Consider the following 22,433-nt stretch of genomic DNA (forward strand, 5'->3'; position numbering starts at 1 on the left):
CAGTTTATTACCGTAGATATAATTATGGGTCACAGATACACTTGTATCTATGAAAAGAGATCCAGAGCATTACTATCGTCAAACAGCCAGCTAAAATGAAAATGTAATTGGGATTCTGTGCTCTGAAAAGTGCAGCATAATTTTATTTCAGTCTATCTCCCTAAGAAAATTCATGAAAGACACTTTGGACGTTTCATTTAGCTATTTGACAGTAAAGATGAAAACTACATCCAGAAATGAAGAAGAGAACACCAAATCTCAGAAATCTGTTCTACAGAAAAGTTATTGCCAAGTATATTCCTGTCAAAATACTACCTCATTATTCTAAATAACACAGAGGTCTTCATTCTACACTAAGTGTTTCCTTAAATTTTAGGTACAATTCACTAGTTTAAAATGAGCAACTATTCAGGAAATTTGTATGAACAAGTTAAAGGCCTCAATAATACCTAAAAGCAAATCATTTTACTCCCTCTGACATTACCTGATAATTGTATACAGGGAACTGATATCCAGTGGCGACTTGAAATGGTGAATTTGGATAAGCAGGAAATGCCTGAAAAGAAAGGTTCCAGAAAAAAATGAATACGGTAAACCATTTTTTTAAAATTAGAAAGAAATATAATTCTGAATATAACAAAAATAGGTAAAATATTGTTTTTCTACATACAATAATGCAGAATTCTAAATGAATGACTGACTTTATGAAGAAAGAAAGATTCTATGACAAGTGCTACACTTTGGGAGTGAAGGGGGAACTAATGACAAAAGAATTGACTATTTCACCAAAGTTTACCTTATACTGTGTACTTATTCACACCCAGAAGTTATTTCTTACACTGGTGGTAAGGCTCCATTAAGAGAGATTGCAAGGTAAGTTAAATTAATACATTTGCTATTTCCCTGTCAGAATATTTCTAGACTGTTTTGTATCAGACAATATTATAGGACAATATATAGTTTGACAGATGTTATGGCTTTGTCTGTACTTCATTACGAAAAACTAAGTGCAGTCTATAATCCAATACTGGACAAGAGAAAGTATAATGTCTTATATATTTCAAAAAATTTTTATTATCTGAAAACATACAGGTAGCAGCATACATGAATACACCCAGATTCAGTAATCGCTCACAGTAAATGACAGAAACAAGTAAGGCTTTTTTTCTAGCCATTGTTCAGAGAAGGAAAAAGAAGAGGTATACCATACATGTTTCAAGTACATGGAAAATATCACGAAATTAGAGACAACCGCAGAACTATTTCACTATTATTTTGTTACTTCATTTTCCATCAAAGAAAATGTCTTTTAAGCTAACACATAAATAAAACGAACTAAGAAGAATATAAAGGTTAGTTATCAACATTAAGTGATGGAGTATGTCAAACCCTACTTTAAATATCAGTGTAACCAGAATCAGAGAAATTAGACGCCAGAAGCTCACGGGGTTTATATATATACTAAACCACATCAGAAATCTACCCATTCCAGAAGAAGAATATTTCCAGAAGTCAGCAATTTATATGAGGAGGCATCCGGAAATCATTTCAAATAAAGAATAGCTAGATGAACTGCTAAACTTACCAAAGAATAAAGTAGGCAGACACATAAGGGGAGCTGCTTTCATTCACTTTAGGAACTGGTTATAAGGGGGAAAGCAGCTCCGGTGATTTGGCGGTAATACTCTCGTTTACTCCTATTCTCATTTAAGCGTCATTAACAGCAAAGCATTTCTGTTTCTCTTCTATAAATATTCTATTGCTGGTAAAGCCAGAGGCAGATTCTATGCAGATACATGCTAATTGTAAAGTCACATGAACACTACCTTTCTTTGATTATATAGTCTGTCATTATATGGACCTGCCATTGCTTAACCACATAAAAACCTGAGGGCTAAAAAGGCACTCTTGCTCCCATGGGAGTTTATAATCGGGTTAACAAGAAAGTAACAACAACAAAAAAATTAATATAAAGAATCACTTAAAAATATTTATAGGCATATATGACATGGAAAAAAATCAAGAATGAACAGGAAATCTATGTTTGGCTAATTCACTTAACGTCAAGGACAACATAATCCTTTGCTCCCCAACAGGACCTTATGGTGGCATCTTAAAAAAAAAAAAGAAAGAAAAAGAAAGAAAAAAAAAGGACACCGAAAGTATTATATGTATTCCTACACATTTTCAAAAACACATGAGAAATACAACATTGAAGTACTTATCCAGCTGTCTCCTTTTTCATTATAATAAAAGTAACAGAAAGGAAAACTTAAGTACTTTATGTTTCTAGTCCATGACATTCTTGTTACTTTTATATTGGAAACTTCACCTTTCTCCAAATTTTCGGGAGTTGGCAACGTGGAAACCTCAAAGATACTACCTCTTTCAGTTTCTTACCATAGATGTAATTATGGGTCATAGATATACTTGTATCTATGAAAAGAGATCCAGAGCATTACTATCTTCAAACAGCCAGCTAAAATGAAAATGTAATTGGGATTCTGTGCTCTGAAAAGTGCAGCATAAATTTATTTCACTCTATCTCCCTAAGAAAATTCATGAAAGTCAGTTTGGATGTTTCATTCAGCTATTTCACAGTAAAGATGAAAACTGCATCCAGAAATAAAGAAGAGAACACCACATCTCAGAAATCTCTTCTACAGAAAAGTTATTGCCAAGTATATTCCTCTCAAAATACTACTTCATTACTTCTAAATAAGACAGAGGTCTTCATTCTACACTACTTCTACGTGTTTCCTTAAATTTTAGGTACACTTCACTAATTTAAAATGACCAGCTATTCAGGAAATTTGTATAAACAAGTTGAATGCCTCAATAATACCTGAAAGTAAATCATTTTACTCCTTCTTACATTACCTGATAATTATATACAGGCAACTGATATCCAGCAGTGACCTGAAATGGTGAACTTGGATAAGCAGGAAATGGCTGAAAAGAAAGGTTGCAGAAAAAAATGAATATGGTAAACCACTTTTTAAAATTACAAAGAAATATAATTCCCAATATAACAAAAATATTACAAAAGGTAAAATATCCTTTTTCTACGTACAACAATGCAGAATTCCAAATGAATGACTGACTTTATGAAGAAAGAAAGATTCTAGGTCAAGTGCTACACTATGGGTGTGAAGGGGGAACAAATGACAAAATTGACTACTTCACCAAAGTTTACCTTATACTGTGTACTTATTCACACCCAGACGTTATTTCTTACACTGGTGGTAAGGCTCCATTAAGAGAGATTGCAAGGTAAGTTAAATTAATACATTTGCAATTTCTCTGTAAGAATATTTCTAGACTGTTTTGTATCAGACAATATTATAGGGTAATATGTAGTTCGACAGATGTTATGGCTTTGTCTGTACTTCATTACGAAAAACTAAGTGCAGTCTATGATCCAATACTGGAGAAGAGAAAGTATAATGTCTTACATGTTTCAATAAATTCTTATTGTTTGAAAACATACAGGTAGCAGCATACATGAATACACCCAGAATCAGTGATGCCTCACAGTAAATGACAGAAAAAAGTAGGACTTTTTTTCTAGCCATTGTTCAGAGAAGGAAAAAGAAGAGGTATACCATACAAGTTTCAAGTACATGGAAAATATCAACAAATTAGAGACACTGCATAACTATTTCACTATTATTTTGTTACTTCATTTTCCGTCAAAGAAAATGTCTTTAAAGCTAACACGTCAATAAAATGAACTAAGAAGAATATAAACGTTATTTATCAACAGTAGGTGACAGAGTATGTCAAACCCTACTTTAAATATCAATGTAACCAGGATCAGAGAAATTAGATGCCAGAAGCTCACGGGGTTTACATATATATACTAAACCACATCAGAAATCTACCCATTCCAGAACCAGGAAATATCCAGAAGTCAGCAATTTATATGAGGAGGCATCTGGAAATCATTTCAAATAAAGGATAGCTAGATGAACTGCTAAACTTACCGAAGAATAAAGTAGGCAGACACATAAGGAGAGCTGCTTTCATTCACTTTAGGAACTGCTTATAAGGGGGAAAGCAGCTCCGGTGATTTGGAGGTAATACTCTCCTTTACTCCTCTTCTTATTTAGGCGTCATTAACAGCAAAGCATTTCTGTTTCTCTTCTATAAATTTTCTACTGCTGGTAAAGCCAGAGGCATATTCTATGCAGACACATGCTAATTCTAAAGTCACGTGAATACTCCCTTTCTTTGATTATATAGTCTATCATTATGTAGACCTGCCATTGCTTAAGCACATAAAAACCTGAGGACAAAAAAGGCACTGTTGCTGCCATGGGAGTTTATAATCGGGTTAACAAGAAGGAAACAACAACAAAAAAAAATTAACATAAAAAGTCACTTAAAAATATTTGTAGGCATATATGACATGGAAAAAAATCAAGAATGAACAGGAAGTCTATGTTTGGCTAATTCCCTTAACGTCAAGGACAACATAATCCCTTTGCTACCCAACAGGCCCCTAAGGTGGAATCTTAAAAAATCAATCAATAAATAAAAGGAAACCAAAACTATTGAAGTATTGCTACACATTTTCAAAAACACATGAGAAACACAATATTAAAGTACTTATCCTGCTGTCTCCTTTTTTATTGTAATAAAAGTAACAGAAAGGAAAACTCAAATACTTTATGTTTCTAGTCCATGACATTCTTGTTACTTTTACATTGGAAACTTCAGCTCTCTCCACATTTTCGGGATTTCGCAATGTGGAAACCTCAAAGATACTAGCTCTTTCAGTTTATTACCATAGATATAATTATGGGTCACAGATACACTTGTATCTATGAAAAGAGATCCAGAGCATTACTATCTTCAAACAGCCAGCTAAAATGAAAATGTAATTGGGATTCTGTGCTCTGAAAAGTGCAGCATAATTTTATTTCAGTCTATCTCCCTAAGAAAATTCATGAAAGACACTTTGGACGTTTCATTTAGCTATTTGACAGTAAAGATGAAAACTACATCCAGAAATGAAGAAGAGAACACCAAATCTCAGAAATCTGTTCTACAGAAAAGTTATTGCCAAGTATATTCCTGTCAAAATACTACCTCATTATTCTAAATAACACAGAGGTCTTCATTCTACACTAAGTGTTTCCTTAAATTTTAGGTACAATTCACTAGTTTAAAATGAGCAACTATTCAGGAAATTTGTATGAACAAGTTAAAGGCCTCAATAATACCTAAAAGCAAATCATTTTACTCCCTCTGACATTACCTGATAATTGTATACAGGGAACTGATATCCAGTGGCGACTTGAAATGGTGAATTTGGATAAGCAGGAAATGCCTGAAAAGAAAGGTTCCAGAAAAAAATGAATACGGTAAACCATTTTTTTAAAATTAGAAAGAAATATAATTCTGAATATAACAAAAATAGGTAAAATATTGTTTTTCTACATACAATAATGCAGAATTCTAAATGAATGACTGACTTTATGAAGAAAGAAAGATTCTATGACAAGTGCTACACTTTGGGAGTGAAGGGGGAACTAATGACAAAAGAATTGACTATTTCACCAAAGTTTACCTTATACTGTGTACTTATTCACACCCAGAAGTTATTTCTTACACTGGTGGTAAGGCTCCATTAAGAGAGATTGCAAGGTAAGTTAAATTAATACATTTGCTATTTCCCTGTCAGAATATTTCTAGACTGTTTTGTATCAGACAATATTATAGGACAATATATAGTTTGACAGATGTTATGGCTTTGTCTGTACTTCATTACGAAAAACTAAGTGCAGTCTATAATCCAATACTGGACAAGAGAAAGTATAATGTCTTATATGTTTCAAAAAATTTTTATTATCTGAAAACATACAGGTAGCAGCATACATGAATACACCCAGATTCAGTAATCGCTCACAGTAAATGACAGAAACAAGTAAGGCTTTTTTTCTAGCCATTGTTCAGAGAAGGAAAAAGAAGAGGTATACCATACATGTTTCAAGTACATGGAAAATATCACGAAATTAGAGACAACCGCAGAACTATTTCACTATTATTTTGTTACTTCATTTTCCATCAAAGAAAATGTCTTTTAAGCTAACACATAAATAAAACGAACTAAGAAGAATATAAAGGTTAGTTATCAACATTAAGTGATGGAGTATGTCAAACCCTACTTTAAATATCAGTGTAACCAGAATCAGAGAAATTAGACGCCAGAAGCTCACGGGGTTTATATATATACTAAACCACATCAGAAATCTACCCATTCCAGAAGAAGAATATTTCCAGAAGTCAGCAATTTATATGAGGAGGCATCCGGAAATCATTTCAAATAAAGAATAGCTAGATGAACTGCTAAACTTACCAAAGAATAAAGTAGGCAGACACATAAGGGGAGCTGCTTTCATTCACTTTAGGAACTGGTTATAAGGGGGAAAGCAGCTCCGGTGATTTGGCGGTAATACTCTCGTTTACTCCTATTCTCATTTAAGCGTCATTAACAGCAAAGCATTTCTGTTTCTCTTCTATAAATATTCTATTGCTGGTAAAGCCAGAGGCAGATTCTATGCAGATACATGCTAATTGTAAAGTCACATGAACACTACCTTTCTTTGATTATATAGTCTGTCATTATATGGACCTGCCATTGCTTAACCACATAAAAACCTGAGGGCAAAAAAGGCACTCTTGCTCCCATGGGAGTTTATAATCGGGTTAACAAGAAAGTAACAACAACAAAAAAATTAATATAAAGAATCACTTAAAAATATTTATAGGCATATATGACATGGAAAAAAATCAAGAATGAACAGAAAATCTATGTTTGGCTAATTCACTTAACGTCAAGGACAACATAATCCTTTGCTCCCCAACAGGACCTTATGGTGGCATCTTAAAAAAAAAAAAGAAAGAAAAAGAAAGAAAAAAAAAGGACACCGAAAGTATTATATGTATTCCTACACATTTTCAAAAACACATGAGAAATACAACATTGAAGTACTTATCCAGCTGTCTCCTTTTTCATTATAATAAAAGTAACAGAAAGGAAAACTTAAGTACTTTATGTTTCTAGTCCATGACATTCTTGTTACTTTTATATTGGAAACTTCACCTTTCTCCAAATTTTCGGGAGTTGGCAAGGTGGAAACCTCAAAGATACTACCTCTTTCAGTTTCTTACCATAGATGTAATTATGGGTCATAGATATACTTGTATCTATGAAAAGAGATCCAGAGCATTACTATCTTCAAACAGCCAGCTAAAATGAAAATGTAATTGGGATTCTGTGCTCTGAAAAGTGCAGCATAAATTTATTTCACTCTATCTCCCTAAGAAAATTCATGAAAGTCAGTTTGGATGTTTCATTCAGCTATTTCACAGTAAAGATGAAAACTGCATCCAGAAATAAAGAAGAGAACACCACATCTCAGAAATCTCTTCTACAGAAAAGTTATTGCCAAGTATATTCCTCTCAAAATACTACTTCATTACTTCTAAATAAGACAGAGGTCTTCATTCTACACTACTTCTACGTGTTTCCTTAAATTTTAGGTACACTTCACTAATTTAAAATGACCAACTATTCAGGAAATTTGTATAAACAAGTTGAATGCCTCAGTAATACCTGAAAGTAAATCATTTTACTCCTTCTTACATTACCTGATAATTATATACAGGCAACTGATATCCAGCAGTGACCTGAAATGGTGATCTTGGATAAGCAGGAAATGGCTGAAAAGAAAGGTTGCAGAAAAAAATGAATATGGTAAACCACTTTTTAAAATTACAAAGAAATATAATTCCCAATATAACAAAAATATTACAAAAGGTAAAATATCCTTTTTCTACGTACAACAATGCAGAATTCCAAATGAATGACTGACTTTATGAAGAAAGAAAGATTCTAGGTCAAGTGCTACACTATGGGTGTGAAGGGGGAACAAATGACAAAAGAATTGACTACTTCACCAAAGTTTACCTTATACTGTGTACTTATTCACACCCAGACGTTATTTCTTACACTGGTGGTAAGGCTCCATTAAGAGAGATTGCAAGGTAAGTTAAATTAATACATTTGCAATTTCTCTGTAAGAATATTTCTAGACTGTTTTGTATCAGACAATATTATAGGGTAATATGTAGTTCGACAGATGTTATGGCTTTGTCTGTACTTCATTACGAAAAACTAAGTGCAGTCTATGATCCAATACTGGAGAAGAGAAAGTATAATGTCTTACATGTTTCAATAAATTCTTATTGTTTGAAAACATACAGGTAGCAGCATACATGAATACACCCAGAATCAGTGATGCCTCACAGTAAATGACAGAAAAAAGTAGGACTTTTTTTCTAGCCATTGTTCAGAGAAGGAAAAAGAAGAGGTATACCATACAAGTTTCAAGTACATGGAAAATATCAACAAATTAGAGACACTGCATAACTATTTCACTATTATTTTGTTACTTCATTTTCCGTCAAAGAAAATGTCTTTAAAGCTAACACGTCAATAAAATGAACTAAGAAGAATATAAACGTTATTTATCAACAGTAGGTGACAGAGTATGTCAAACCCTACTTTAAATATCAATGTAACCAGGATCAGAGAAATTAGATGCCAGAAGCTCACGGGGTTTACATATATATACTAAACCACATCAGAAATCTACCCATTCCAGAACCAGGAAATATCCAGAAGTCAGCAATTTATATGAGGAGGCATCTGGAAATCATTTCAAATAAAGGATAGCTAGATGAACTGCTAAACTTACCGAAGAATAAAGTAGGCAGACACATAAGGAGAGCTGCTTTCATTCACTTTAGGAACTGCTTATAAGGGGGAAAGCAGCTCCGGTGATTTGGAGGTAATACTCTCGTTCACTCCTGTTCTTATTTAAGCGTCATTAACAGCAAAGCAATTCTGTTTCTCTTCTATAAATTTTCTATTGCTGGTAAAGCCAGAGGCAGATTATTGGCAGATACGTGATAATTCTAAAGTCAAGTGAATACTACTTTTCTGTGATTATATAGTCTATCATTATGTGGACCTGCCATTGCTTAGGCACATAAAAACCTGAGGGCAAAAAAGGCACTCTTGCTCCCATGGGAGTTCATAATCGGGTTAACAAGAAAGTAACAACGACAAAAAAATTAATATAAAGAATCACTTAAAAATATTTATAGGCATATATGACATGGAAAAAAATCAAGAATGAACAGGAAGTCTATGTTTGGCTAATTCACTTAACGTCAAGAACGGAATCCCTTTGCTCCCCAACAGGCCCCTATGGTGGCATCTTAAAAAAAAAAAAAAAAAAAAAAAAAAGGACACCAAAACTATTAAAGTATTCCTACACATTTTCAAAAACTCATGAGAAACACAATATTGAAGTCCTTATCCTGCTGTCTCCTTTTTTATTATAATAAAAGTAACAGAAAGGAAAACTTAAGTACATCATGTTTCTAGTCCATGACATTCTTCTTACTTTTATATTTGAAACTTCATCTTTCTCCAAATTTTCAGGAGTTGGCAATGTGGAAACCTCCAAGATACTACCTCTTTCAGTTTATTACCATAGATATAATTATGGGTCATAGATATACTTGTATCTATGAAAAGAGATCCAGAGAATTACTATCTTCAAACAGCCAGCTAAAATGAAAATGTAATTGGGATTCTGTGCTCTGAAAAGTGCAGCAGAAATTTATTTCACTCTATCTCCCTAAGAAAATTCATGAAAGTCAGTTTGGATGTTTCATTCAGCTATTTCACAGTAAAGATGAAAACTACATCCAGAAGTAAAGGAGAGAACACCACATCTCAGAAATCTCTTCTACAGAAATGTTATTGCCAGGTATATTCCTCTCAAAATACTACTTCATTACTTCTAAATAAGACAGATGTCTTCATTCTACACTAATTCTAAGTGTTTCCTTAAATTTTAGGTACACTTCACTAGTTTAAAATGACCAACTGTTCAGGAAATTTGTCTAAAAAAGTTAAAGGCCCCAATAATACCTGAAAGCAAATCATTTTACTCCCTCTTACATTACCTGATAATTATATACAGGCAACTGATATCCAGTGGTGACCTGAAATGCTGAATCGGGATAAGTAGGATATTCCTGAAAATAAATTATACAGAAAGAATGAATTAATACGTTAAAACATTATTTTTAATTAGGAAGAATTAGTCCCAATATAACAAAACTATGAAAAATTTCGAAATACTAATTATTTTTCTATCTGCAACAATGTAGAATTGTAAGTGACTGACTGATTTATGAAGAACGTATTATTCTCGGTCAAGTGCTATGGTTGGGCGTGGAGGGGGAACAGACAAATGTCAAAAGAACTGGCTATGACACCAGGCAAAGTTAACCTTACTTATATTGTGTACTTATGCCCACCCAGAAGTTATTTCTTGCACTGGTGATAAGGCTGCATTAAGACAGAGTTCAATGTAAGTTAAATTAATACATTTGCTATTTCCCTGTAAAAATGCTTCCAGACTGATGTGTATTTGACAATATTATAAGGTAATACGTAGTTCTGCAGAATTTACGGCGTTTTCTGTACTTCATGTTGAAAAACTAAGTGCAGTATAGAATCCAATACTGGAAAAGAGACAGTATAATGTCTCATATGTTTCAATAAATACTTATTGTTTCAACACATATAGGTAAGCAGCATGCATCAATACACCCAGATTCAGTAATGGCTCACAGTAAATGATAGAAGTAGGGCTTTTATTCCAGCCATTGTTCACAGAAGGAAAAAGAAGATGAGGTATACCGTACATGTTTCAAGTACAGGGAAAATGTCAACAAATGAGAAACACTGAATATAACTACTTCACTACTATTCTGTTACTTTATTTTCCATCAAAGAAAATGTCTTTTAAACTAAGATATAAATAAAATGAACTAAGAAGAAAATAAACGTTATTTACCACCAGTAAGTGACAGAATATGTCAAATCTACTTTAAATAGCAAACTAACAAGGATCAGAGACACTACATGCCAGAAACTTGCGGGATTTACAGATACCTAAAACATATCAGAAATCTACCCATTCCAGAACCAGAATATATCTGGAAGTCAGCAATTTAATATGCAGAGGCATCTGGAAATCATTTCAAATAAAGAATACCTGGATTAACTGCTAAACTTAGAGAAGAATAAAGCAGGCAGACACATGAGGAGAACTGCTTTTAAATATTTTAGTTATATGGGGGAAAGCAGCTCAGGTGTTATAGAGGTAATACTCTTTTTAATCCTATTCTTATTTAAGAGTAATTAACAGCAAAACATTTCTGTTTCTCTTTATGAAATTTTTTATGGTTGGTACATCCAGATGCAGATTCTCATCAGATACATGCTATTCTAAAGCCAAATTAATACTACCTTTCTTAGATAAAGCCACATTAGGACTACCTTTCTTAGATTAAATAATCTATCGACAAGTAACTGAACACTTGTCATAATTTGGAGAAGCCATTGCTTAAGCATACAAAAACCTGAGAGAGAAAAAGGCACTGTTTCTCCCATGGGAGATTATAATTGGGTTAAAAAGAAAGTAACAAAACGTTAACACATCAATATAAAGAATCATTAAAAATATTTATAGGCATATGTGCCACACAAAAAATCAAGAAAGAAGAGCAGGTATATGTTTCACTCATTCGCTTTACCGGAGGAACAACATAACTCCTTTGCGCCCCAACAGGCCAGTGCAGTGGAATCTTAAATTAAAAAAAAAAAAAAAAAAAAAAAAAGTAACCACAATTATTTAAATACTCCTACACGTTTTCAAAAACACATGAGTTACATAATATTGGAGTATTTATCATGATGGCTCCTTTGTTATAATAAAAGAAACAGAATAGAAAAAAGAAGTACTTTAGGTTTCTAATCCCCAAAGTTCTTGTTGTTACTTCTACACAGAAAACCTCACCTTTTTCCCAATTTTATGGAAACAGAATTGTGGAACCCTCAAAGATATTAATTCTTTGAATTTGTTACCACAGATACAATTATGGGTCACAGATAATAGTTGTACCATTGAAAAGAGACCCAGAGAACTGCTATCATGAAGCAGCAAGCTAAAATAAAAATACAACTGAAATTCTGTGCTCTAAGAATTCGGTAAAGCTTTTATTTCACTCTGTATCTCTACAAGATTCAGGAAAGTCAGTCTGGATGTTTCAGCTCTTTGACAGCAAAGATAACAAAATACATGCTGAAACAAAGAAGGGAACACCAAATCTCAGAAATTGTTCTACGGAAAAGTTATTGCTAAGTACCCTCCTGTCAAAATCTTATTTCATCACTTCTAAACAAAACAGAGGTCCTCATTACACTAATTCTAAGTGATTTCTTAAATTTTAGGTACAGTTCACTAGTTTAAAAGGACAACCTATTCAAGCAATTTGTATAAGCAAGTTGAGGCCTCAATAGTAGCTGAAAGTAAATCATCTTACTCCCTCTTCAATTACCTGATAATTATATACAAGCAACTGACATCCAGTGATGACCTGACCTGGTGAATGTGGATAAGCAGAGTAAGCCTGAAAATAAAGTTTACAGAAAGAATGGATTAATACGGTAAAACATTTTCTTTAACTAGAAAGAAATATCATTCCCAAAATAACAAAAATACGAAAAACCTTGAAATGGTAATTATTTTTCTACATACAGAAATACAGATTTCTAAATGAATGACTGACATGAAGAAACAAATATTCTCTGTCAAGTGCTACCCTTTGGGCGGGGAGGGGGAAGAGACAAATGACAAAACAAGTGACTGTTGCACCGGCCAAAGTCTACCATATTTATACTGTGTACTTATGCCCACCCAGAAGTTATTTCTTACGCTGCTGATAAGGCTCTATTAAGATAGATTTCAACGTAAGTTAAAATAATACATTTGCTCTTTCTTTGGCAAAATACTTCTAGACTGTTTGCTATCTGATGATATTATAGGGTAATACTGTAGTTCTTCGGCAGATGTTACGGCTTTCTCTGTACTTCTTTTCCACAAATTAAGGGCAGTAAGTAAGCCACAGCTGGAAAAGAGACAGTATAATGTCTTCTACTTTTCAATAAATACTTACTGATTAAAAACATACAGGTAGCATCATTCATCAATACACCCACATTCAGTAATGGCTCACAGTAAATGCTACAAACAAGTAGGGCTTTTCTTCTAGCCATTGCTCAGAGAAGGAAAAAGAAGAAGAGGTGTACCCCACACGTTTCAAGTACATGGAAAATGTCAACAAATGAGAGACATTGAAGAACTAATTCACTACTATTTGGTTACTTTATTTTCCATCGAAGAAAACCTCTTTTTAAAAACTAACACATAAATAAAATGAACGAAGAACAAACTAAACGTTATTTATCACCAGTAAGTGACAAGAGTATGTCAAATCCTACTTTAAATATCAAAGCAACCAGCATCAGAGAAATTACGTGCCAGAAACTCACGGGATTTCTAGATAGAGCAAAAGAGATCAGAAATCTACCCATCCCAGAACCAGAATATACCCAGAAGTCAAGCAATTTATATGAGGAGGCATCTGGAAATCACTGCAAGTAAAGAATAGCTAGGTTAACTGCTAACCTTAGAGAACAATAAACTAGGCAGACACATAAGGAGGGCTGCTTCCAAATACTTTAGGAACTAGTTATATGAGGTGAAAGAGGCAGAGATAGGAAGAGATTTGTTCATGTGTCTACAGAGGTCATTTCTAAGAGAAAGCTTCGCCAAGTATACAGAAGATTCTTAGCTCAAATGACGAACACGAAGAATAAGAAATTTCTAACAAAAGTAACAGATTTCCCGTTACTCACACTGTTCAAACAGGGATTCTATTGCCACTTACTATGGAAAGTGTAGATACAATTCCACAGAGGGAAGGATGACTAGAATAAACAAGAGAACAGGAACATAAGCAGTTCTTACCTGAACGTGCTGAGTTACAGGATTCGGCGTGATTTGGGGCTGCAGGTAGGTTTCAGTGTTTGGATTCCGCCAGACGTTCTGAAACTGTGGTGGAGGAGGAGGATTAACTACCAAAGGACGTGGCTGCACATGACGAGCACCTTTTTAAAAAGCAAGAAGAAAAAAGCCTATTTTTAGTTATTTGAAAAGCTACACGGGTCAGAAAAGAACCATTTCTTTTCCTACTCACATAACTTTTGTTTCCTGATTGCAGGGCCCAGCTTCAGCTTTTTACCATGGAAATGTATCTGTGACTGAAAATAGAACCGTTAACAAAACTAGAATCAATTTTCAAGTGTTAGCTTCCAAGACTTGGGTAAACACCTGAAGTCTTCTAAAGTACCTATCATCATAGAAGATCGGGGACAACTACGCACCAAATTAAAATTTGTCATCACGAAGCTACCTTACTTACCCTTACTACTCTAATCAGTGTCAAGAGGCATCAAGTGAAAGTTGATCAAAAACTTTCCATCACCCTGTCTCCAACCCTTCCTGTCTGTAGTTCATGAAACTAGGTGTCCAGTCAAAAATAAACAGGATCAAACAAGCTACGTGAGGTTACTCTGAGTTTGGATTTTGAACAGGAAGTGTGTCTTTCCCCAAATTTTACACAAGTCCGAGTGTATCACTGACACTAAACGTTGTAGCAATAAGATAAATAAGAGATTTTTCTATTAGATTACTTACTCCTACTATCTTCTGGACATCCACGTCATTAACAAACGAAACAAATCCATAGCTATAAAGGCAGACAAATGAAGCATAAAATCACCATCATACAGTACGTGGTTCAGAAGGTCTACTATTCTATATACAGAAGTGGTCATGACAAAAGACGAATAATATACCATGATAAGTATTTGCTAAGATGTACATGACAGATCCTCTACAAATACCACTTTTTCTTAAGCAGAACTATGTCAAAATGTGCTAGGATTAGGGCAGTGTGACAACTTTATTGATTAGCAAAGAATTCATATCTGTGAACCTGAGTTTAACTTACTGTCTAAGACAAGGTGGTTAAAATTTAAGATGCTCTGCAGTGTATGAAGAAAACAATTATTTGAGAAAACTGATTAACTCATCTGTATGAAATAGAAACTGGAGACATTTAAATACAAACATTAGAAAAATGGTCAAATAGAAGAACTGGTAATAGCCTTTTATCCCCTACGTGAAAGAAATTAACACTGCAGAATATTGCATTTATACAAGGGTCAGAATATCAGTTTTGAAGTCTTGTCTGATACTTATAGAATAGGTGACTGGAGTTCACATATTTTTGATAAAATTACTCACCCTTTGGACACACCAGTTCGATTCGTGATTATCTTCACTTCTTTCACTGAACCGTATCTACCAAAGCAGCTTCCAATCTCAGTTTCATCCATCTATGGAAAAGAACTGAACGTCAGAGTAAAAATTCAGCATTCAAAAATTTCAACTTTACTACAATTTTACTACCATGAGGTGGAAATTTCTCCCCCATTTATCCCCGAATGACCAGCAGCCCTTTGTCAAAGATATTTTTAGTACCTATGGGTCAAACCTAAAAGCAATTCTAAACCTCCAGGAAGTACAAAAAAAAATTTAAGTTTGTAACAGGGCCCACATCCCATTGTTCATGATGTATGTTAAGGTAAAAATGAGGTACGAATACAATACCCTAGCATCAATTCCACCAACAAAAACAGTGTTTGGCACGATTTTGCCTTCTGGTAACACCCAGCCTTGGCTAGCTGCAGCTGATGAAGACTGGGTGCTGGCCTCTCTGGAGATGGTTGAGTTTGGAGTCTCAGGATTTGCAGCAGACTGTAATTTGGAAAGTAGACATCATAATTACGTATGCAGGCAAAACCCATACATAATGTGAAATACCATTTTTGTATTTTAAGTATATTTTATATAAATTACTTTCATTGTAATTCAGTCACCAGTGCAGCTCAGTTCAGGCTCAGGATTTAAACTTATCAGAGTACATCAGCATGGAATTTTAACCGAAGGATACAGTACTTTCTTAAACCTAGTGCCGCTCATCACCGAGTCTTGTATAATGCTGTGGAAGAATACCCATTTAGTATTTGTGAAAGTACTACGTGAAGTAGTTAAAAAAGACACCCAAAACTAGAGAGTTTAGATTTGTAAAAATTAAAGTTATTAAAATCATCCTGTTCTATATTCATAAACAACTTTTCACTTTACTGAGTAGACTAAAGATAAATCTTAAAAAAAAAAAAAAAAAAAAAGCCCCACCAAAAAGAAAATAAGCCTCAACGTTTTAAACCAATTTGTTACAATCCTCTTCCCTAACGCTAGGGTGTTCAAAGCATCTTTTGAAATAACATTTTTCTTCCTGAGTAACACGGAATCAGTCTGACTGATAATTCTGATTTTCACAGTGGGCTGATAGATATAAATGATACCATCTTTATTTTCAGATAAAAAAACACATACATATAACTCACTAATTTTCTAGATTCTGATCAGAACTGTCTTTATTCTTTCCACAGCAGACTCTAAGGTTAATGTAAAATTTTCTGAAGTAGTATTCATAAGTAATATATACGTTGGAGAAACAATATAGCATAGTGAAACAAATAATTCAGTCAGGAGATCTAGGTTTATGTCCCTTACAGGTAAGTGGTTATAAGCCACCTACTTGCCAGCTATGTATCTGTGGGCAAAGTGCTTTGAGAATGACATGAGATCACATCTGTGAATTCATTTTGTACGTATAAAGTGGTACAAGTGGTGTGCCAATGTAAGTTAGTGTCCTGTTATTTGAATTTATTTTCAGCCGATTTGTTTTCAAGTTTCTTTTTTGGCTTCACTATTTAGCTGACTTATTTTGAAAAAATTTTAATTAAGAACTAATTGACACATCAGGAAACTATGACACATCATTAATTTAAAAATCATTGGTGAAGTGCTGTTGACTTCACAAATGTCAGTACAAAATGCTGCAAAAGAGAAAGCTATTACACATATACCTGTCTGAAAGAAAACAAAAGACAAAAGAAACTGCGTTATCTTTTTGAACACAGTAATGTTATAGAAGTTAATAAGAAAGGAGGGTTCCTGCTTTGTTAATTAGAGCCTAGAAGTTACTGATTCTACACAGCTTTACTAGAGATCAAATCTAAATTGTCAAATCAACTAAAGCCGAGGTTACTGCATTTCTCTATTCTTTCGTGCTTGTACTTGCTATTTTGGGTCTGTAACTAATTCCTAATTCTTTCCTTTAACAGCGTTATTTCATGACAATGATGTGAAAGAAAAATTTAAAACACTATTTTTAAAGTTCTTCCTTTCAAAAATGTCTCACATTATTGCTTTTTCCAAATGACATTAAGCTGCACTACCTTGAACTACTGGGAACCTGATTAGATCTCCCTTCCCTATAGACAATTTACCAATTCCTTCTCAGTTCATTCAGAAATCCCAAACAGAATAAAACAAAACAAAACAAATTCTGAAATTCTTGTAGTTTCTTTTTCTCCTTTCCAATTCCTCCTTGATTTGTGGATGAACTTTGGGTATGTGTTTCCTTGATAAACAAGCTATATTACAGTATCGTCTCTGCACCATAGTGTTTGGATGTATTTTAATTTAGAAATGTAACATCTGGCAGAAAACTGTGTCAGACTACGAGAGGTTATGGAAATGCACTGATTCTCAACTGGGCAAGATTTTTGAGCCCCAGGGGCATTTAGCGACGTTTAGAGATTGGCTGTCACAACTGAGATGTATTCCTGGAATCTGATGGGCCGAAGGCCAGGCACACTACTGCGCATCCTACAGTGTAAAGACAGCCTCCTACCATAAGGAAGTATTTGGTGCACAATTTGAAAAGGGTCTGGTTAAGAAACCTTGTCACCGTGCCACAAGAATTGAAGAGGAAAATTCTTCTTTGGGAAGAACCTGATTTCCATCGCTCACTAAAGTGAATCTTTTCATGACCTCGGTTTCAGTTTCCTTGCTTGAAAACGAATGGCCGGAAAAGACCTCGGGTGTCTCTTCTGATTCTCATACTCATTTGGATACTCGAAATAACCGTAGTTTGGTAAAGAAGAAAAAAGGCATTTGATATTATTAAGAAGTTTGACTTTAGCTTGGATCTTACAAACCGGCTGCCTGCTTAACTGGAATCGTACATATAAAATTCACTGAATCTCTCTAACAGCGTCATAATACTTTAAATGAAGGAAGTAATGATCATGTCCTAGTCCTCAGCCAGCAGGTGGCGCTCAAAGCTAACAAGGTAAGCAATGTACCTCGTTTTCTGCAACGTACTTCACTTTTACCATGGCTCGAGTAGCAGGGATTGTTCAATTCCGACTGTGTACTTATACATAATTATATAATGTATATATAAAAATCCACAATCAACAGACAATCTTTGGTTAGTTTTAAACTACGGCCAAAAATATAAATGAATGCTTCGGATAAGCAAAAGTTTAGTTTGAAAGAAAGTACCATCGTAACCGTCAATGGCATCCTGAAAACAAACTGCATTAAAGAAGTAATTTTCTTAACCGTATCTTCAAGTGAGTTGTTGAATTTTCAAATGAGAAATGTTGCAATAGTAAACAGGGGTGAGCTTCAACACCATCATACACGCAACTCTCACTGCTACATAGGGCAAATACATTCCTTGTTACATGTGGACAACCAAGTGACAACGACAGCTAAAAGCTGCAAAAAAATTATCGTTATTTAAACTCCTGGCATGTCAGCTCCTTTGCCAGTATTATCTAATTCAATTACTATGTCAACCTGTAAGCAAACTGATACTTATATAAACTGACCAGGAAAAAGCCTATCATTTGTAGTCAGCAAAGTTACATTCACAGCAATAGAAGAGGAGCAAATAAAGAGAGTGATAAAATTAAGAAAATATGACAGGAAAATCAGAATCAAAACCTTAAGCAAATCAAAGAGCAGATTCTCGGGGAGTGGTGCGTGGGGAGGATGAAATTCAAGCAATAAACAATCCTGGCAAAACAAAGCAAGAAAACACAAGAAAGCAAAAGTATACATGAGACCTGAAAAATGGGTTGCGGCCACAGATAATAGAAGAATGCTAAGCAGAAACTCTATTTTCAATGAGGAAGAAAGTATTTCTCAACGCGTTTTACAAAGCTAAAAGCATATAGGTAACAAAGCCTCATCCAGATGATCCATCCCTGCCCTCAACACAAATGCAAAATTCCAGCAGTATATAAAGAGTCTAAGTTTACATTGGGAATGCAAGAATACTCCATTCGCAGGATACATTACTTTAGTTCATCACTGAAAATCATTTGATAAAATACAGCACTCATAATTTAAATTTTTTAAAAACCCAAGTAAAATAGAGGTAGAGGAATCTTATTTTCTATCAATCTCATTCTACCCTATCATCAAGCTTACAAGTGAAATAGTTGAGTCAACTCAATTGAAAGTAGGAATGAGGTAAGGGCACCAGGGCACCTCCTTATTACTCCTGCATATGTTTTCCACTGTGTATGACAAAAGTGAATACTAATACAAAGTATTCTTATGAATCAGTAAGAAAAATAAAATTAAAAAGGTAATTTTAAAAGCTAAAGATCAATGATCAACTTCAATGATGATTTTTAAAAGTGCACATCAACATAATGTAATATTTTCCAGCTATTACGCTGACAATTTAAAAAATACTAATAACTTTCACTGGAATGGGTGTGGAAAAGACAGCACTCTACACACCATCAGTGAGAAAATACTAATACGTGATTTACCAAGAGTACTTTGGAAAAGCTGTATCATAATTTGATAAGCGGGGATACTCACCACTATACTAAAAAGGAGAATTCATTATAAAATTGTTATACAAGGGGCAAAGTGCTTTCACCTAGCAATTCCACTTATAGCAATTCATCTCAAGAAATTAATAGTACAAGCGTGCCAAGATATTTACACAAAGATATTCACAGCATTGTTCTTTTTGAGACTGAGTCTCTCTTTGCCGCCTAGGCTGGAGTGCAGTGGCACAATCTCAGCTCACAGCAATCTGCGCCCCAGGATCACGTGATGCTGCTGCCTCAGCCTCCCGAGTAGCTGGGATTACAAGTGTGCGCCACCACGCCTGGCTAAATTTTTTGTATTTTTAGTAGAGACAGGAAACAAAAATCATTCAAATATTCCTTCACATTTTCAAAAACACATGAGATAACACAACATTGAAGTACATACGCTGGTTCCTTTAATTTGTTATTACAATAAAAGAAACAGAATGGAAAAAAGAATTACTTCAAGTTTCTAATCCCTGACGTTCTTGTTGTTACTTTTATATGTAAAACCTCAACTTTTTCCCAATTTTCTGGGGTTGGTATTGTGGAAATCTCAAGGATATTAGTTCTTTGAATGTATTACCATAGATATGATCATGGGTCATATATACAGTCATATCTATGAAAAGAGACACAGAGGACTACTATTGTGAAGCAGCCAGCTAAAATAAAAATATAATTCAAATTCTGTGCTCTAAAAAGTGGGTAATAATTTTATTTCACTCTGTCTCTCTAAAAAACTGATAAAAGTCAGTCTGGATGTTTCGGCTATTTGACGGCAAAGATTTAAAAAAAAAAAAAAAAAAAAAAAACATGCTACAATATAGAAGGGGACACCAAATCTCAAAAACCTATTCTACAGTAAAGTTTTTGCTAAGTACATTCCTGTCAAAATATTACTCAATTACTTCTAAATAATACAGAGGCCTTCATTCTAGACTAATTTGAAGTGTTGTCTTAAATTTTAGGTACATTTCACTTCTTTAAAATGGCAAACTATTCAAGCAATTTGTATAAACAAAGGGCTCAATAATATCTGAAAGTAAATCATTTTACTCCCTCTTAAATTACCTGATAATTATATACAGGCAAATGATATCTAGTGATGCCGTGAACTGCTGAATTTGGGTGAGTAGTGTGTGCCTATAAATAAAGTTTACAGTAAGAATGAATGAATACGGTAAAACATTTTGTTAATTAGAAATACTATTCCCAATATAAAAAACTATGAAAAAGTTTTAAAACATTACTTTTCTATATACAGCACTGCAGAATTCTAAATGAGTGACTGATTTTATGAAGAAGAAATATTCTGTCAAGTGAGGCCCTTTGGCTGGGGAAGGGGAACAGACAAATGACAAAAGAAGGGACTATTTCACCAGACAAGTTTACCTTATTTATACTGTGTACTTACGCCCGCCCAGAAGTTATTTCTTACGCTGGTGATAAGGCTCTATTAAGACAGACTTCAATTGTAAGTTAAATTAATCCATTTGCTATTTCTTTGTTAAAATACTTCTAAAGGGTTTTCTATTTGACAATATTATAGGGTAATACGACGTTCTCCTACAAATGTTACGGCTTTTTCTGTACTTCATTTCAAAAAACTAAGGGCAGTATATGATCCACAGCTGGAAAAGAGACAGTATGGTGTCTTCTACGTTTCAATAAATACTTACTGATTGAAAACTATACGTAGCATCACACATGAATACACCCAGATTACGTAATGGCTCACCGTAAATGTGAGAAACAGGGCTTTTTTGCTAGCCATCGTTCAGAGGACAAAAAAGAAGCAGAGGTATACCCTACCTGTTTCAAGCACATGGAAAACGTCAACAAACGAGAGACACTGAAGAACTATTTCACCACTATTTTGTTACTTTATTTTCCATCAAAGAAAATGTCTTTTAAACTAAGACATCAATAAAACAAACTAAAAAGAAAATAAACATTACTTATCCCCAGTAAGTGACAGAGTATGTCAAATCCTACTTTAAATATCAAGGTAACCAGCATCAGAGAAATCACATGCCCGAAACTCACGGGATTTATAAATATAGGAAAACACATCAGAAATCTACCCATTCCAGAACCAGAATATATCCAGAAGTCAGCAATCTATATGAGGAGACATCTGGAAATCATTGCAAGTAAAGAACAGCTGGATGAATTGCTAACCTTCGGGAAGAATAAACTAGGCAGACACACGAAGACAGCTGCTTTCAAATATTTTCGGAACTAGTTATGTGGGGGGAAAGCAGTTCGGGTGTTTTAGAGGTAATACTCTTTTTTCTTCCTACTCTTATTTAAGAGTAATTAATAGCAAAACATTTCTGTTTCTCTTGAACACTTTTTTTTTTTTTTTTTTTTTTTTTTTTTTACGGAGGGTAAAGCCAGAGGCAGATTCCAGGCAGATACATGCTCATTCTAAAGCCACTATTAATACTACCTTTCATGGAGTGTATAGTCTATCAAAAAGTTACTGAATTCTTTCTTATCATCATGTGTACGAGCCATTCCTTAAGCACGCAAAAACCTGACAGAGAAAAAGGCACTGTTGCTCCCATAGGAGTTTAAAATTGGGTTAAAAAGAAAGTAACAAAATGTG

General features: G+C 34.1%; 1 protein-coding gene across 2 annotated transcripts in view; it reads right to left on the reverse strand.

The window, feature by feature from the left end:
- DAZ1 (deleted in azoospermia 1) overlaps positions 1–22,433 on the reverse strand; it is a 69,740-nt gene that overhangs the window by 25,335 nt on the left and 21,972 nt on the right. The window contains exons 12-22 of one of the 2 annotated variants that reach the window (NM_004081.7): positions 15,675–15,821; positions 15,309–15,400; positions 14,697–14,748; positions 14,197–14,260; positions 13,968–14,107; positions 12,496–12,567; positions 10,051–10,122; positions 7,660–7,731; positions 5,264–5,335; positions 2,881–2,952; positions 485–556 (exon numbers count right to left, since the gene is read on the reverse strand). In NM_004081.7, the coding sequence (NP_004072.3) occupies positions 485–556; positions 2,881–2,952; positions 5,264–5,335; positions 7,660–7,731; positions 10,051–10,122; positions 12,496–12,567; positions 13,968–14,107; positions 14,197–14,260; positions 14,697–14,748; positions 15,309–15,400; positions 15,675–15,821 (927 nt within the window). The remainder of the gene's footprint in view (positions 1–484; positions 557–2,880; positions 2,953–5,263; positions 5,336–7,659; positions 7,732–10,050; positions 10,123–12,495; positions 12,568–13,967; positions 14,108–14,196; positions 14,261–14,696; positions 14,749–15,308; positions 15,401–15,674; positions 15,822–22,433) is intronic. The other variant, NM_001388496.1, reaches the window with a different exon arrangement.

The sequence above is a fragment of the Homo sapiens genome, chromosome Y (assembly GCF_000001405.40).
Source record: "Homo sapiens chromosome Y, GRCh38.p14 Primary Assembly".
In the NCBI taxonomy this organism is placed as follows: Eukaryota; Metazoa; Chordata; class Mammalia; order Primates; family Hominidae; genus Homo; species Homo sapiens.